Source organism: Homo sapiens, chromosome 16, assembly GCF_000001405.40.
Source record: "Homo sapiens chromosome 16, GRCh38.p14 Primary Assembly".
NCBI lineage: Eukaryota > Metazoa > Chordata > Mammalia > Primates > Hominidae > Homo > Homo sapiens.
Window position 1 is genome coordinate 58421708 of NC_000016.10, and position 17646 is coordinate 58439353.

Consider the following 17646-nt stretch of genomic DNA (forward strand, 5'->3'; position numbering starts at 1 on the left):
CTTTGGCCTAAGATGCCATAGCCCCACCTGGCTGTGCGCTGCAGCCCTCCTACCTCTATCCGGGGCATGCTTCATCCCACCTGGCTGTAAGCCCAGCAGCACTTGCATAATTTCCCACTTGACTTTTGTCCCTTACTTTCCACATCGCTCCAAGATATTTACAACTAGTGTTCTTGCTTAGGACATAAGAGTGTGCCCCAGGCCAGGCACAGCAGCTCATGCCAGTAATCCCAGCACTTTGGGAGGCTGAGGTGGGAGGATCACTTGAGGCCAGGAGTTTGAGACCAGCCTGGGCAACATAGTAAGACCACATCTCTACAAATAATTTAAAAATTAGCCAGGTGTGGTGGCAGCACCTGTGGTCCCAACTATTCAGAAAGGCTGAGGTAGGAGAATTGCTTGAGCCTGGGCAGTCGAGGCTGCAGTGAGCCGTGATGGCGCCACTGCACTCCAACCTGGGCAACAGAGCAAGACCCTGTCTCAAAAAAAAAAAGTGCCCCTTATGGCTGCATCACTGTTTACATAACATTTGTCCTTTGCTGGAGACACAGCCTGTTTGTTTTTTTACAGTTTTTTCTTGTTGTTGTTGTTGTTTTGAAACGGACTCTTACTCTGTCACCCAGGCTGGAGTGCAGTGGCACAATCTCAGCTCACTGCAACCTCTGCTTCCCAGGTTCAAGCGAGTCTCCTGCCTCACCCCTGAGTAGCTGGGGTTACAGGCATGCACCACCACGCCTGGCTAATTTTTGTATTTTTAGTAGAGATGGGGTTTCACCATGTTGGCCAGGCTGCTCTCAAACTCCTGACCTCAAGTGATCTGCCCGCCTCGGCCTCCCAAAGTGCTGGGATTACAGGTGTCAGCCACCAATCCCGGCCTGTTTGTTTTTTAAATAGAGACAGTGTCTTGCTATGTTGCCCAGTCTGGTCTCAAACTCCCGGCTTCAAATGATCCTCCTACCTCGGCCTGCCAAAGTGCTGAGATTACAGATGTGAGCCACTGTGTCCGGCCCAGTGATGGAGCCTGTTTCTATCTAGACAGTAACCAAAACCCATGGCCGTTTCCTAAGACTATCAGTTTGCAAATGGAGTCCTTGAGCAGTTCAGTAAGGGGAAAACATTTTAGAGTTTAGGGGCTTTTATTTTAAAACTTTCATATTTTTACTGTGTTAAATTGATGACATATATAATACATGGTCCTGCATGTACAGACTTCTGAAAGATTCAAGTAACCAGAACAAAACAAGTCCCCTTCACCATCGCCTCCCACACCCACACCCAGCTCCGGGAGGTAACAACATCAACAAACAGATGGCTTCCCTCCAGTTCCTTTCAACGCCTTCATGCTCACATGTAGTCCTTTATGTAGGTTGGATCCTATTATACATTCTGTTCTGTGCCCTCCCTTTTTTACCTAACAATATCTCGGAGATCTATCTACCTTATTCTTGTTTAACAACCACAGAGGTTTTCAGAGTAGGGAAAGATCATATTCTATTTAACCACTCAACTTCTCTGAAGGATTTGGGCTGTTCATAAATTTTCACAACGTTACGGTGAACGTCACAGGACTTACATGCAGCCGCATGTGCAAGGATTTCTGTAGTGCAGACTTCTGGAAAGGTGGAATTGATGGAGCATAGAGTAAGTACATTTAAAATTCTGATAGGGGGCCGGGCGCGGTGGCTCATGCCTATAATGCCAGCACTTTGGGAGGCAGAGATGGAGGACTGCTAGAGTTCGAGACCAGTCTGGGCAACATAGCAAGACCCACATCTCTTAAAATTCTGATAGGGACTACCAAATTTTCTGCCCAAAGTCTGCCTTTTTCTAAAAACAAAAAGTATATTTAATGACAAAAGTAACATTCCTGTAAACATGTAATGAATACAAACAAGACCAGAAAATAAGTTTTAAAACACCCAGAATTTCATTACCTAGAAGTGGCGATATTAACATACATAGTCAATTTGAGTCATTTTACCATGCATATAGGTAGAGATAAATTTTTAATGAAAATGTGGTCAGAACGTAGACTCTTTAGTAACCTGCCTTTTGCAGTTAACTATATGCAACAAAGCTCTTTCCAAGTCATTAAAGATTCTTGGATTTTGTTTTGTTTTGTAAAGATGGGCTCTCACTAGGTTGACCAGGTTGGTCTTGAACTCCTGGCCTCAAGCAGTCCTCCCATCTCAGCCTCCCAAAAAGCTGGGATTACAGGCATGAGCCACTGCACCTGGCCTAAAGATACATCTATGGTGACATTCCAGATTCTTAACATCATTTAGGGACAAGAAAAGGGAAGCTTATGTGGAAGGAAGGAAGGTAAAAAATTTTTTTAAGACTATGCTAAAAGCAGCATTGACAATTCCTAACTTTGCTTATGTAGGAAAATTATTCTACAACCCTGGTTCCTGGAGGTCTTTGAGAATCTGATAAAGCTGAGGCGGGTGCATCACATGAGGCCAGGAGTTCGAGACCAGCCTGGCCAACATGGTGAAACCTCATCTGTACTAAAAATACAAAAATTAGCTGGGCGTGGTGGCAGGCACCTGTAATCCCAGCTACTCAGGAGGCTGAGGCAGGAAAATTGCTTGAACCCGGAGGCAGAAGTTGCAGTGAGCTGGGATTGCGCCCCTGCACTCCAGCCTGGGCAACAGAGCAAAACTCTCTCGAAAATAAAAAGAGTATGGGCTCTTGATTCAGACACAAGAAACACAACTTTGAATCCTGGCTTTACTACATACTCTTCAAACCCTCCGCCTGTTTCTTCACTTGTAAAATACAGACGATAATCAGCAGGTTCTAGGGTTGCTGTGAAGTTTAAATAAGTTCATACACATAAAATGTTTGCAACAAGGTCTACACACAGTAAGTGGTAATTAAATGCCAGCTCTCATTATTTCCAGTGTTTTGCCCTTGTGACATTTCTAACCATATCTTTGTGCACATCTGTGATTACTTCCAAAGGATAAATTCCTAGATGTAGAATAGCTGGGTGGAATCATGAGCATGTTTATGAGATTTGGTTTTGGTTTTTTTTTTGTTTGTTTGTTTGAGACAGAGTCTCACTCTGTTGCCCAGGCTGGAGTGCAGTGGCGCAATCTCAGCTCACTGCAACCTCTGCCTCCTGGGTTCAAGTGATTCTCCTGCCTCAGCCTCCTGAGTAGCTGGGATTACAGGCATGCGCCACCATGCCCCACTATTTTTTTTTTTTTTTTGTATTTAGTAGAAACGGGGTTTCACCATGTTGGCCAGGCTGGTCTCGAATCCCTGACCTCAAATGATCCACCCGCCTCGGCCTCCCAAAGTTCTGGGATTATAGACGTGAGCCACTGAGCCTGGCCATGTTTATAAGATTTTGGATACATGATGCAAAACTCTTCTCTAAAGCCTCAGATTCAATGATGGTTCTAGGACTGGTTAACAGTGGTAAAGAAAATGCACAAAAATCCTTGCCCTCCTGGAGTTTCCATTAGAAAGGGAGTAGACAGTCAAACTGAAAATGTGATCTATTGGGAGGTGACAAGTGCTATGGAGGAAAATAAAGCAGGGCTGGGCTTAGGAGGGCTGAGACAGGGTGGGGGCTGCAGTTCTACAGAGGGTGGTCGGGGGGCTTCCCTGAGAAGGTGACATTGGAGCACAAAGACTTGAAGGAGGGAGGGAAACATGCAGACGCCTGAGGGGAGAGTGTTCCAGGCAGAGGGAATAGCATGTGCAAAGGTCCTGAGGCAGGAACTTGCCTGAGTGGAGGGGGGAGGATGGGAGGAGAAGAGGATAGAGCAGCGAAGGGGTGGGACATGTCATGGAGGGCCTGGTGGGTTGAATCGAGCTACACTTTTTTTGTTTGTTTGAGACAGAGTGTTGCTGTGTTGCCCAGGCTCGAGCGCACTGGCACGATCTCGGCTCACTGTAACCTCCATCTTCCAGGTTCAAGCATTTCTGGTGCCTCAGCCTCCCAAGTAGCTGGGACTTAAAGGCATACACCACTAGACATGGCTAATTTTTGTATTTTGGGTAAAGACGGGGTTTCGCCACGTTGGCCAGGCTGGTCTCGAACTCCTGACTTCCAATGATCCACCCGTCTTGGCCTCCCAAAGTGCTGGGAGGGAGCAGTGTTAATTTCATACCACTGTAGCTCTAGGAAGGGTGAAGCAGGCATTCAAAAAGACAATGAGAACTAATCAAAATTGTGTTTTCCTTGTTTCAACTTGTGCTTAAAAGCACTAAAAGGAAGTGACGACTCTCATTGTTTCCCAAGAAAATCAGAGGTTCCTTGTTTTCTCAGTAAAACATGCGAATATTTCAGATACTCAAATCCAGATACTTTTTTCCTAAAACACTAAGAACCAAGAGTAAAATGAAAAGACACACACCTGTTTTGTTTGTTACTGGGTGGTGTTCTCAGAAAAACCATCTGCCAGGCATGCAACCCGAGGCAGTGTCTATCAGGGGAATGTAGGGCTGAGATCACAGTGCCCATGATAGAGGGTACCCGTGCCCAAGGCCTCATCCCTCCTCTTCCTGCCACACGTCCCACCACAAAGCCTCAGTCTCAGAGACACATGCAGAGGGCAGAAAGGCCAGCTCGGAGATTACAGTTCAGGGTGAGGAAGTAGCAAACCACAGGTTCATCTGGCGGACCACTGTGGCTGAAATAAGTGAGCTAGAATTTCCACGCACTTCCCCAAACAGCAGAATCTGTGCCTTGAAGAAACTAGGAAGTTCCAGGGACTTGGGAAGGACCAGAGTTTGACCTGAAATGGTTATAAATGAGGGGAGGGCCAGGTAAGGTGGCTCACACCTGTAATTCCAGCACTTTGGGAGGCTGAGGAGGGTGGGTCACTTGAGGTCAGGAATTGGAGACCAGCCTGGCTAATGGCAAAACCCCGTTTCTACTAAAAATATAAAATTTAGCCGGGTTTGGTGGCAGGTGCCTGTAATCCCAGCTACTTGGGAGGCTGAGGCAGAAGAATTGCTTGACTCTGAGAACTGGAGGTTTCAGTGAGCCAAGACCACACCACTGCACTCCAGCCTGGGCAACAGAATGAGACTCTGTCTCAAAAAAAAAAAAAAAAAAAAAAAGAAAAAAAAGAAAGGAAGCAAATATTGGTATAGTATGAAGGCTGGGGTTGTGGTCCCAGCTACTCGGGATGCTGAGGTGGGAAGATCGCTTGAGCCTGGAAGGATGAGGCTGCAGTGAGCTATGATGGCACCACTGCTGTCCAGCCTGGATAACAGAACGAGACCGTTTCTCAAAAAAAAAAAAGAAAAGAAAAGAAAAAATTGAGGCTGGTAAATGTGCCTGATGGCTTAGGGGGTCAAAAATGCGCCCTGGCTTGATGAAGTGGCTTCTCCACTATTACCAGCATTTCCATCTGTTGCTTTGCTTGTCAACAATATGTCACTGATCACCTACTGTGCACAGGCACAGGGCCAGGTGCCCAAAGAGAGGACAGAAAGAAATATATCTGGAGGAGCTGCCAGTTCCTGCAGGGGACGGAGGGACACTCTGAACCACAAGAGCCTTGGCAAAGTGCCCCTCAAGACTTCCCTTCTCCAAGTTAACACTTATCAGCTTGTTCTTTTTCTCCTCCTTTCCTTTCCCCTTTTCTTTGTCTCCATTCTCTCTCCTTCCTTCCCTCTCTTCTTCTTTCCTTCCTTCTTTCTCTTTTGCAGATTGGTACAGCTTTATCATCAAGAAGTTAGAGTTCACATAATAATTTGTCTTGATAACTGTACCTTAGTTCAATTTCGTTTTTAGCAGAAATAACAAGTGCTTGTTGAAAAGATAAAACCATATGAAAACATCAAAATAAACCTAGCAAATCCTCACTATCTCCATGCCCCACTCTTCCTCTCCTGAGAATCACTATTAACAACTTACCATTTACTTTCCAGGTAAGACTTTTCTCCCCCATGCATACACATATTTCTGTATACAGTTTTTAGAAAGTGAATATGAATTCTTCCTGTTTAACTTACTGGTGTGTTCTCAGCTCCTGGCACATAGTAGGCATTGAAAGCATTTCTTGAACAAATAAATTATGAATTTCTGAAAATTATCTCTTATTCAAAAATACATCATGGGCCGGACACAGTGGCTCAAGCCTGTAATCCCAGCACTTTGGAAAGCTGAGTCAGGTGGATCACTCGAGGTCAGGGGTTCGAAATCAGCCTGGCCAACATGGTGAAACCCCGTCTCTTTCAAAAAATACAAAAATTAGCTGGGTTTGGTGGCATAAGTCTGTAATCCCAGCTGCCCGGGAGGCTGAGGTGGGAGAATCGCTTGAACCCAGGAGGGAGAGGTTGCAGTGAGCCAAGATCACGCCACTGCACTCCAGCCTGGGCAACAGAGTAAGACCCTGTCTCAAAATAAATAAACAAATAAATAATACATCGTGGACATCCTTCCATGTCACCTACCTCCATCTTTTTATGGCTGTGTGATATTCCATAGAATGGCTGCGTCATTATCCAACCAGAACCCTGTTGTCAGATGTTAGGCTGTCTCTGTGTTTTCATTGTTTGAGATGATTGTTCCTACATCCTTGCACACTTGTGTATTCTGTAGGCAAGTGTAGAGGACAGAATAATGGCCTTCCAAAGATGCCCACATGCTAATGCTCAGAACCTGTGAATTTGTTACCTTGCATGACAAGAGACTTGCAGACGTGCTTAAATTAAGGCTCTTGCGGTAGGTGGGGGGAGGTGATCCTGGATTGTGGGGTAAGCCCATTATAATCATAAGGGTCCTTGTAAGAGAGAGGCAAGAGAGTCACAGAGCAGGCCATGTGATGCAGAAGCAGAAGGGAAGAAGGAGATGCAGTGACAGAAGCAGAGGCCAGAGTGATGCCATTGTTGAAAGGACTACAAGCCAAAGGAGGCCTCTAGAAGCTGGAAAAGGCGAGGAAATGAAGTCTTCCCTGTAGCCTCCAGGATTGTGGCCTTGCCAACCCATTGGACTTCTGTCCTCCAGAACTATGAGGTTATGAATTTGTGCTCCTTAGCCTGCCCAGTTCGTTATTGTGATTTGTTATCGCCACAATAAGATGCAAACTGAGCCAGAGACCTAGAAATGAAATTGCTGGCATCTTAGTCTGTTCAGGCTGCTATAAAAAACACCATACCCTGGGTGGCTTATAAAGAGCAGAAATTTACATTTGACAGTTCTAGAGGCTGGGATGTCCAAGATCAAGATGACAATAATTCCTTGTCTGGTGAGGGCTGTTTCCTAGTTCATAGATGGCACTTTCTGGCTGTGTCCTCCCATGGTGGAAGCGGTTAGTTAGCTCTCTGTGACCTCCTCCATGAGGGCTCTGCCTCATCACCTCCCAAAGCACCCCACTTCCTAATACCATCACTTTGGTGATATGAATTTGTCACGACAGCTGGGGGAGATGTAAACCTTCAGACCAAAGCACTGGCTCAAAGACTAAATTCATTTTCTAAATTCATGCACCATCACTCATACACACAGCGGTTTCCATCCCGCTCACTGCCCTCCAGCTGCTGTCTAATATTTCTATGACCTTCTCAAAATGTCAATCCCAGAACGACCTGCCTGTCCACACACTGCTGACCCGTGCATAGTAAGCATTCTGCTGGGTTTGATCAGCATCCTTGGGAACTGCACATTAAGCTGTGCTCATTCAGCTAGAAATGACCTGAGCGCTTCAGTCTTCAGTCACGCCTCTGCTGTCCTATTCTCGTGCCATTGGTTTGTTTTTGACATTGGGGCAGAACTTTACTTTTATCCCTCCTAAATTTCACATTGTCTAAGTAAAATGGGGAGAGATGAGAATCTTCAGTGTCAAATTACTGAGTAGTTCTTTGTTGCCATTTCATTTCCATGAGTTTTTGGAGAATGGAAAGAGCAGGTGGATTTGGCCCTTAAATCTCATAGGGAAAAAGAAAGTGAATAGAAATAACATCATAAATAATAGAGAGGGTAAAAGCCTCCATATCAGAAATGGCTCAACCTCAGGGATTTTAACGCCTAAGAAGTGATATTTATTTTTTATTTTTTATTATTTTTTTGAAACAGGGTCTCACTCTGTCGTCCAGGCTGGAATGCAGTGGCACGATCTTGGCTCACTGCAGCTTCGGCCTCCTGGGCTCAAGTGATCCTCCCACCTTAGCCTCTCAAGTAGCTGGGACTACAGGCACACAGCTAATTTTTGTTGTTGTTGTTGTTGTTGAAACAGGGTTTCACCATGTTGCCCAGGCTGGTCTCAAACTCCTGACCTCAAACGATCCGCCTGCCTCGGCCTCCCAAAGTGCTGGGATTACAGGTGTGAGCCACCGCACCTTGATCAGAAGGGATATTTATACAGGAAAGCTCCATAGGACAGTCCAGCTCAGCAGGGACTGGTTTAATGTTGGGAATTCTATTTTGTCATTAGTTCCAGAGCAGCCAAGCCACCAAAATATCACTTGGATGCTGCCAGCTTCCTCCAGTGCAGGTAGAGGAGGTGTCCTGGGAGCCCACAGGCTGCATTCCCATGAGACAGACGCCCCCATCAGTCCCCTAGGACCCCGCCCAGTATAGGGCAAGCAAGCTCTCAATGGTTGACAGTCCCTTGGGTCTTTATGTCCTGACTAGGAATAGGAGGTCTTACAAAACTGAAACAAGTTAGAATTTGAAGAGGGCTAATTCCATCCCGGCCCCTCCTTTTACAGACAGGAACCGAGGCTGGGTCATCGGCTCCAGAATTTACCAGGCTGTGCATTGTAGAACCTCCTCATGGACGGGCTCTGTGTGCAGGCTTTACTCTGGCCAATGGCAGGTGCGTTACCAGACAGGAACGCTTCTGGACAATGCTCCCCGACTCTTGTGTCAGAAGCACTGGATTCCTTTCCTGTGGCTGTCGTAACAAAACACCACAAACTAGGTGGCTTAAAACAACAGCGATTTATTCTCTCACAGTTCTGGGGGCTAGAAATCCAAAATCAAGGTGTCAGCAGGGCCACGCTCCCTCTGAAGGCTCTAGGGGAGAATCCTTCCTTGCCTCTTCCTAATTTCTGGTGGTTTCCTTGGCCGCAGCTGCGTCAGTCTGATCTCTGCCTCCATCGTCACACACGGTCTTCTGCTGTGTGTCACCGTGCTCTCTTCGTTCTGTGCATGGCTGTCTCTGTGGCCAAATTTTCCCTTTTATAGACACCAGTCATATTGGATTAGAGCCCACCCTAATGAGCTCTTCTTGAATTGATGACATCTGCAAAATTCCTATTCCCAAAATAAAGTCACATTTACTGATATGGGGGTGAGGACTTCAACATATATTTTTTATTATTTATTTATTTATTGAGATGGATTCTCATTCTGTCACCCAGGCTGGAGTGCAGTGGTGTGATCTCAGCTCACTGCAACCTCCACCCCCCAGGTTCAAGCAATTCTCCAGCCTCAGCCTCCCGAGTAGCTGGGGCTACAGGCATGCGCCATTGTGCCTGGCTAATTTTTGTATTTTTAGTTGAGACAGCGTTTCACCATGTTGGCCAGGTTGGTCTTGAACTCCTGACCTCAGGTGATCCACCCACCTCAGCCTCCCAAAGTGCTGATATTACAGGCATGAGCCACCACACCAGGACTTCAACATATATTTTAGAGATGCAGTTCAACTCATAACAAGCACCTTCTACCAGGAGACAGAATGAAGCTGGTAACAAAGGCCCAGAGACACTGGTTCCTTTAGCCAGAGCCTGGTGATACTGCGGAGTACCTCGACAGGCAACCCTGAAACTAGTATCCCTGGGCCAGATGTTTAATGGGCATGTAAGAGGCTGTCCCTGAGTCAGAGCTTGCAGAAGGAGGGGCTGGTACAAGGTCCAGCCTCTCCTCAACTGTCCTGAGCCCCTAACTCAGCAAAACAGAAGCCCTGGCGTTCTTCAGCCACCTGCCATAGGGTCCAGCAAGCAATTGTCATGACTACTTACTCACATCCTTGCCATCTTTCCTCCCTCACTCCAAGAGGCTCACCAAAGCACCCCTCCCTACCCCACACACGGCTTTCCCTGAGAAGAGCTCTGATTAATTCATATGGTTGCCTCCTTCTCATGGCATTTCCAATATGTCATGGTGCCCCTTACTGACTGGCCTCCCAGGCAGCTCTCGGGCTTGCAGCTCTCAGCCTTGGGGAACGAGGCTGCACCATGTCCAGGGCCTTGCTGCCTGGGTGCTTACTGGTTTCAAAACATTGCCACTGGGCTGCTTGTCCTGATCCTTCCTCCGACTTAGTTCAGTCAAGGTTTGCAGATGTACCCTGATCTGTCACCTGGAAAACATCAAGACCCAGCCTGTCCTGTTTGTGTGTGGCCACTCAGGCTAATCCATTCCGCAGGGGCAGGGAAGGCAGCCCAGACTGCTTCCTTCCAAGTTCTTTCATCTTTGACTGGATGCATTTCTCAAGCCGACTCTCGGCCTAGATAGAAAATTGCAGCAGAGTTTTTACGTTGGGCAGTTCTAAAAATGCCACCTAAGAGCTTGCACCTGTGCTGAATGCTTCCCATGTGTAATAGAAGCACAGGTATGAAGGTGGGAATGTTCCCAGCTGTCCCAGGCCCACTAAAGAGGGCTCTGGCATTGCCTACTGTTTGCTTCCACGCCCTCCCTAAAGCATCTTGCCACTGCCAGACAAGTTCTGAGAGACAGAAGGGGAAAGAACTGTCCCGAGGAAGCAAGGTCAAAGGCAGTACACCTCATGGCAGGTGGCAACAGGACTGCTGTGCAGACTCACCCGTTGAACATGCTATGAGTGCTGCCTTCTGTAATTGGGCCCCTGGCTGCAGGGCAGAGGCCTGGCAAGGTGGCAGGGGTGGAGCAGACATGAGTAGAAGAAGGAGATTTTCTGTAGAGGAGGATAAGCATCTTATGGGAGTTGCATGTGTTACAGAGGACGGTGATGAGCCCAGAGTGGCTGTGGCATATACGCCTAGACCCCCATCATGTTCTTCAGGAGACATGAGCACTCACTGGAATTCCAATGGGCTGTTGTTCTTTTAGACTCTACCCCGAGACTGGACCACATGGGTCTCAAAACCTCCATAGGGTCCCACTTGCATTGTCCTATATAATCCTCACAACCACCCGGAAGCATTGGTGTTATTATTATCCCCATTTTACAGATGAGAAAATCAAGGGCCAGGCAGGCCAAGTGACTGGCTAAAGATCTCCCACAGCCGATATGTGCAGAGCTGGTGTTCCGTGAAAGAGCCTATATTAGTTAGGGTTCTCTAGAGGGACAGGACTAATAGGATATATATATATATATATATATATGTTAAGAATTAACTCACATGATCACAACGTCCCACAATAGGCTGTCTGCAAGCTGAGGAGCAAGGAGATTCAGTCCAAGTCACAAAACTGAAGAACCTGGAGTCTGATACTTGAGGGCAGGAAGCATCCAGCATGAGAGAAAGATGTAGGCTGGGAGGCTAGGACAGTCTAGTCTTTTCACATATATATATATATATATATATATATTTTTTTTTTTTTTGGCCTGCTTTATAGTCTAGCCTCACTGGCAGCGGATTAGATTGTGACCACCCAGATTAAGAGTGGGTCTGCCTTTCCCAGCCCACTTATTCAAATGTTAATCTCCTTTGGCAACACCCTCACAGACACACCCAGGATCAATACTTTGCATCCTTTAATCCAATCAAGTTGACACTCAGTATTAACTATCACGGAGCCATATGTGCAAAGCGATCCCCAAATGCCAAAGGAGCCAAGAAACAAAGGAGGCAGACAAATCCTGTTTGTCAGTATTGGATGATTTATTGGGGGAACTCACAGACAGAAGCGTGGTCTTGGGTGGCCATAATACAGGTAGATCTCCCACTGTTACTCCCAAGACCTCAGGCTTGTATACCATAGAGAAAGGGTACATGTGTTCCAGCAAGAAAATTACAGGCACCCCTCCAGAACAGGCAAGAACACTGTGTGTGTCACAGCCCACAATTTGTGCGATAACATCAAGGTTGACGTGTTCTTACACTAGGGACAGGAAATAAAGTAGAAACAAGGAGGCATTCACAGGACTAAGCTAATCAGAAGTCAAACCTAGGGATGCATCCAAAATGGAGTTGCTCTTGTCTCTACAGCTAGGATTTAGAACCTGGACCTGGACGCCTCACTGCTTCCTGCTTCCTTAGTGCCTTGTGGCCTGGAGTCAGAATAATCTAGCTCAAACTTGGGAGTCAAATGCTCCAGGGTCTTGAACTGGTCAGAGCTCTCAATGCCGTAAGTACCTACAACCCCCTTGGGATGTGCTGTGGGGGGACCATCAGGTGTCTCTGCAGCCCAGGAAAGGCATTCACAGTGCCCTCAGGGAGAGTCTGCAAGGGCTGGCCAGAGCCGCTGCCCACAAGGAAAGCTGGCCTAATGTGCTCTGGCTTCCCGCCTTTCTCCATTTGGCCTAAGAACAGAGAACACCCTCATCCCCCACCCTTACCCACACCCCCACTCCCAGGACTCCCCGGGCTGCAAGGGTCACATGGCTGGGAGGAGGCGAGTCTGAGTGGGTCCCCTCCCAGCAGGCTGTCAGTGTGAGATTACAAATAACTGGCAGTTCCCATAATTACTGTGCTGCCCAGAAGCCTGGGCTGTCTATTCTGAAGTAAGGGTGACTAAAGGTCAGGGCTCCACGATCAGCCCCGGCTCAGGTTCTGGTTCTTCCATGGTACTGGTCTCATGACCTCAGGCAAGTGAGCGAGGCAGGCAAGACTGGGGCTGGCACGCAGCTCACCCTCACTGCTGCATTCAGTCCATTCCAGCACCCATCCATGAATCAGCACCCATTCTCCTGGCCAGCAGCCATCCCCTGACTGATCAGCACCCATCCCTCCTGACCAGGACCCATCCCCCCCAATTATCACCCACCCTCCTGACCAGGACCCATCCCCCTGACAAGCACACATCCCTCCTGACCAGCAGCCATCCCTCCTAACCAGGACCCATCCCCCTGACCAGCACCCATTCCTTGATCAGCACCCATCCCCCGAACCAGCACCCATCCCTCCAGACTACCACCTTTCCCCCAACCAGCACCCATCCCCCTGATCAGCACCTATCTCCCTTGACCTGCACTGAATCCTCCTGATCAGCACCCATCCCCCTGACCAGCACCCATTCCCTGACCCCACCACCACACCCGGCTAATTTTTTGTATTTTTAGTAGAGACGGGGTTTCTCCATGTTGGTCAAGCTGGTTTCAAACTCCCGATCTCACGTGATCCACCCGACTCAGCCTCCCAAAGTGCTGGGATTGCAGACATAAGCCACCGCGCCCCACTGCCTCATCACCTTTTAAAGGCCCCACCTCTTAATACTATCACATGGCCATTAAGTTTCAACACTTGGGCCAGACACAGTGGCTCAGGCCTGTAATCTCAGCACTTGAGGAGGGTGAGGCAGGAGGATAGCTTGAGGCCAGAAGTTCAAGACCAGCCTGGGTAACATAGCAAGACCCCATCTCTACAAAATAAAAATTAAAAAATTAGGCGTGGCGTCATGCCTGTCATCTTGGCTACTCCAGAGACTGAGTCGGGAGGATCGTTTGAGCCCAGGAGGTTGAGGCTATAGTGAGCCATGTTCATGCCACTGCACTCCAGCCTGGGCAACAGACTGAGACCTTGTCTCTAAAATAAGGAGTTTCAACCCCTAGATTTTGGAGAGGACACTTTTAAATCATAGCAAAACCTAGTCCCCAATGTGATGGTACTAGGAAGTGGGCCTTTGAGGGGTGAGACGTAAGGGTGGGGCCCTCAGGAATGGGATTAGTGTTCCTTGTAAATGAGGTCCAAGGGAGTTCATAGGACACAGCTAGAAGGCACCATCCATGAATCAGAAAGTAGGCCCTCACTAGACACTGAATCTGCTGGTGCTTTGATCTTGGACTTCCCAGTCTCCAGGACTGTGAGCAACACATTTCTGTTGTGTATAAGCCACTCAGTCTATGATGTTTCATTATTGCACCCCCAACAGGCAAAGACACTTTCAGAAGAGGAACGAAGGCCTGGAAGGAAAAGCATCAGGGGAACGACGCTTACGTCTCTCCTCCTCCCTCCGGTCTCCCACCAGTGCTCCCATTGGCTGAAGCCAACCAGAAGCCACAGGGTAAGGGATCCCAGGCCATAGGGCACCCCCAGGTCAGCCATCCAGGGTTCGGAGCAAGCTGAAGGGAAGATGGTAGGTGGAGAGGGGCAAATGGAGAACAGTCAAGTCTAGGCAGATGGCACTGTGCATGTAAAACCCAGCTAGGAGAGCCACCAGGGGGCTGGTGAGCAGCCAGAACCCAGCTCTTCAAATCTTCAGGCCAGTGTCCTCACCTGTAAAACAAGGATTTGAACCCAAAGAACACCAAGATCCCCTCTCATACTAGGATTCCAGCTGATCACCCCGGCCTGGGCCTGGGCTCTGCTCTTTGCCCCTGCTCCCCCCAGCAGAGAAGTAGTCCAGCAAGTGTTTTCTGAAGGTGATGAAACGCTGCCTTTGGCAGTTTGCAAGGTGTACTAATGAAAGGCAAGATGCTCTTGGCAGCAATTGTATCTTCAAACATGGAGCATATATGCGTCTACCTATGTTAAAATTATAGACAAAAATAATGAATTGAGGCATTTAAAAAAGACTGGAAGGAAAAACAACCACAGATTTTGACAGCTATGGTCTGTGGGTGTTTTTTGCTTTTTATAGTTTTCTGTGTTTGCAATTTTTCTAAGTTGAGCGTGGCGGGGTGGGGGAAGTAAGGAAAAATAGTGTGAAACAAAATTCTTTGGACCTTAAGCCTGAATTAGAGTTTAAGAAAATTAGGCTACGGGCCAGGCATGATGGCTCACACTTGGAATCTCAGCATTTTGGGATGCCGAGGCAGGAGGATTGCTTGAGGCCAGGAGTTCCAGACCAGCCTGAGCAACATAGTGAGACCTCACCTCTACAAAAAATTAAAAACTTAGCCAGCGTGGTGGCACATGCCTGTAGTCCCAGCTACTCAGGAGACTGAGGCAGGGGGATGGCTTGAGCCCAGGAGTTGGAGGCTGTAGTGAGCTATGACCACATCACTCCATTCCAGCCTAGACAACAGAGCAAGTCTCCATCTCAGAAAAAAGAAAAGAAAAGAAAAGAAAAGTTGGCTCTGGCCCAGGAGCACGTGGTACAAGATCCTCCTGATTCCCTCCCTCTTCCATCCATCCCTCCTTTTCTCCATATTGACCAAGCACTAAGTATGCCCTGTACCAGTGAGAGGCATCAGAAATGCAATGATAGCAAGGGAGGACCTCCTGCCCCATCAGTAACAAAGGAGAGCATATAAGCATTTTGTTTCGTGGATTTATTTTTCTTTGAAATAACTGCCCCATGTTTTTCTGTCTCAAACAAATCAGCTGACCTGATTAGTAATGTCCTATGAGTGGTGGTTTTCAGTAATCTGTTGCATCCTCATTTGTCTTTCAGAAGCCCACTGTCTGTTCAGATTTCTGACCCTTGGAAAACTGCAGAGCTCAATGATTAAATGAATGGACTTTGGAGCCAGGTGACCCTGGATTCCAATCCTGTCTCCACCACTCCAGGCTCTGAGACCTGGGCCAGTCACTCTGCCCTTCTGGCTTTAGCGTCTCCATTTGTAAAACAGCACAGAGTGCCAGGCAGGTCAGACTGAATGACAGACAGAAGGGACTTAGCGTCTTCTATGCACTGGATTATGTTCCCCTAAAATTCATATACGGAAGCCCTAACCCCCAGTGTGATGGGATTTGGAGATGGGGCCTTTGGAAGGTGCTTATAGCTAGGTGAGGGTATGAGGGTGGGGCCCTCATGATGGGATTAGCGCCCTTATAAGAAGAGACACCAAAGAGCTTGCACACATGTGCTCTCTCTCTCTCTCTCTCTCTCTCTCTCACACACACACACACACACTCTCTCTCTCTCTCCCATGCACAAAGAAGAGGTCATGTTGGCCAGGTGCAGTGGCTCATGCCTGTAATCCCAGCACTTTAGGAGGCTGAGGCAGGAGGATCGCTTGTGCCCAGGAGTTCAAGACCAGCCTGGGCAACATAATGAGACCTTGTCTCTACAAGAATTGTTTACAAAATTAGCTGGGCATCGTGGTGCATACCTGTAGTCCCAGCCATTTGGGAAGCTGGGGTGGGAGGCTCACTTGAGCTCAGGAGGTCAAGGCTGCAGCAAGCTGTGACCATGCCATTGCACTCCAGCCTGGGTGACAGAGGAAGACTCTGTTTCAAAAAAAAAAAGAAAAGAAAAAGAAAAGGTGATATGGGCACACAACGAGATGGCCACCACGTGTAAGCCAAAAGAAGAGGCTTCAGGATGAAACCTACCTTGCCAGCACCTTGATCTTGGACACCCCATCCTCCATAATTGTGAGAAATTCTTCTTGGGTTAAGCCACCCAGTCTATGGTATTTCATTATGGCAGCCTGAGCTAGGGCAGCATAGCTGCAGGAGCAGTGATGGCATGCACTTCTGAAGCCTCTGGTTCATGTCCATCATTAGGTTCGGTCAGGCACCAATCAGTCAGGGAGCTGCAACCACCCCTGTCTGCACTTCCCCAAGGAGTGACTGACCCTCCAGGGCCCATCTGCTCCCAGCTCCTCCACCTCATCTGCCAATTGTTACCAGACTCCCTGTGCACAGCCCTGAGCTGACGGGGGATCTTGAACCCAGGTTTGTTCCCGTGTGTGTACCCTGATCTAGGGGAAGCATCCAGTGGAAGCTGCTGCTTGGCCTCCAGGCCCCAAAGATATGATACAGATGCCTGCAGCCTTGCCCACCACTACCACTCATCTAAGGAATGTGTCCAGAACCTACAGACTCTGTGTATGTGTCCATGAAACAAAAGGCTGAATTATTTCCTGATGTTTCACTTCAGACTGAGGTTTGCTGCAAAAGATGAAGGGAGACAGAAAGAGATTCACCCACAGAAGTGAGACTTCATTTCTGGAGGGGGAGAGGCCAGGGAATGGGTGACCCTCCAGAAGGATGAGCTAGAAAAACAGGGTCTCCCAATAAGCAGGTGTGCAGAGCACAGCAACAGGAAACTCATGCAGCAGGCATGAATGAATGAAGGGCCTGCTGTTTACCAGTCCCTGCAGGCACTCTGGGATATAGACAGGCCACAGGCCATGGGGGCTTAGTGGTCCACAACCCCAGGTGCAACCCAGCCCCTCCACTTAGCATCTGCTCGAGGCCAAAAACAGCTGCTGTTATTTCTGCCCGCATCCGTTTTCTATCCCTCTGGGAACCATACCCCTGTTGTCCTCTGGGGATCCATCCCATTGGTTCACATGTTCCCAGAGAAGCTGATAAGTTCCAGGGGAGGAGCCCATGATGCCTCTCACCCCAAGCCAATCAGTAACTCCAACGCTCCCAGCCATGGTGGGTACAGGCATGTGACCAGTTCAGAACACTGGTCACATTCCTGACACGAGCAAATTCACTGGACCTGAAACCAGAGAGGAAGTAGGAACTAGAACGCCTGTCTCCATCTGGCCACAAAATGGAGCCTGAAATTGAAGTGAACACAACAGAAGCAAGAGCCAGAGATGAGAAACCAAGGCTTCTCTGGGTCAGCGGTGCCTGAAACAGATGCATCCCCAGGCCTCTCCGTTCACTGAGTAAATGACCTTTTTTTTG

General features: G+C 48.1%; 1 long non-coding RNA gene across 1 annotated transcript in view, besides 3 other annotated features; it reads left to right on the forward strand.

Moving 5' to 3' along the window:
- LINC02137 (long intergenic non-protein coding RNA 2137) overlaps positions 1-17646 on the forward strand; it is a 41536-nt gene that overhangs the window by 382 nt on the left and 23508 nt on the right. The window contains exon 2 of the long non-coding RNA NR_187253.1: positions 13985-14116. This is a non-coding gene — a long non-coding RNA (long intergenic non-protein coding RNA 2137). The remainder of the gene's footprint in view (positions 1-13984; positions 14117-17646) is intronic.
- Positions 4478-4577: a silencer, noted in NCBI's record as "silent region_7550". NCBI's record gives its function as "represses an Ori minimal core promoter by ATAC-STARR-seq in GM12878 lymphoblastoid cells {active_cell/tissue: GM12878}" and the evidence as "EXISTENCE:reporter gene assay evidence [ECO:0000049][PMID:35858748]".
- Positions 4648-4727: a silencer, noted in NCBI's record as "silent region_7551". NCBI's record gives its function as "represses an Ori minimal core promoter by ATAC-STARR-seq in GM12878 lymphoblastoid cells {active_cell/tissue: GM12878}" and the evidence as "EXISTENCE:reporter gene assay evidence [ECO:0000049][PMID:35858748]".
- Positions 14198-14492: a silencer, noted in NCBI's record as "tiled region #11516; K562 Repressive non-DNase unmatched - State 13:Ctcf". NCBI's record gives its function as "represses a minimal TATA promoter and a strong SV40 promoter by Sharpr-MPRA in K562 cells {active_cell/tissue: K562}" and the evidence as "EXISTENCE:reporter gene assay evidence [ECO:0000049][PMID:27701403]".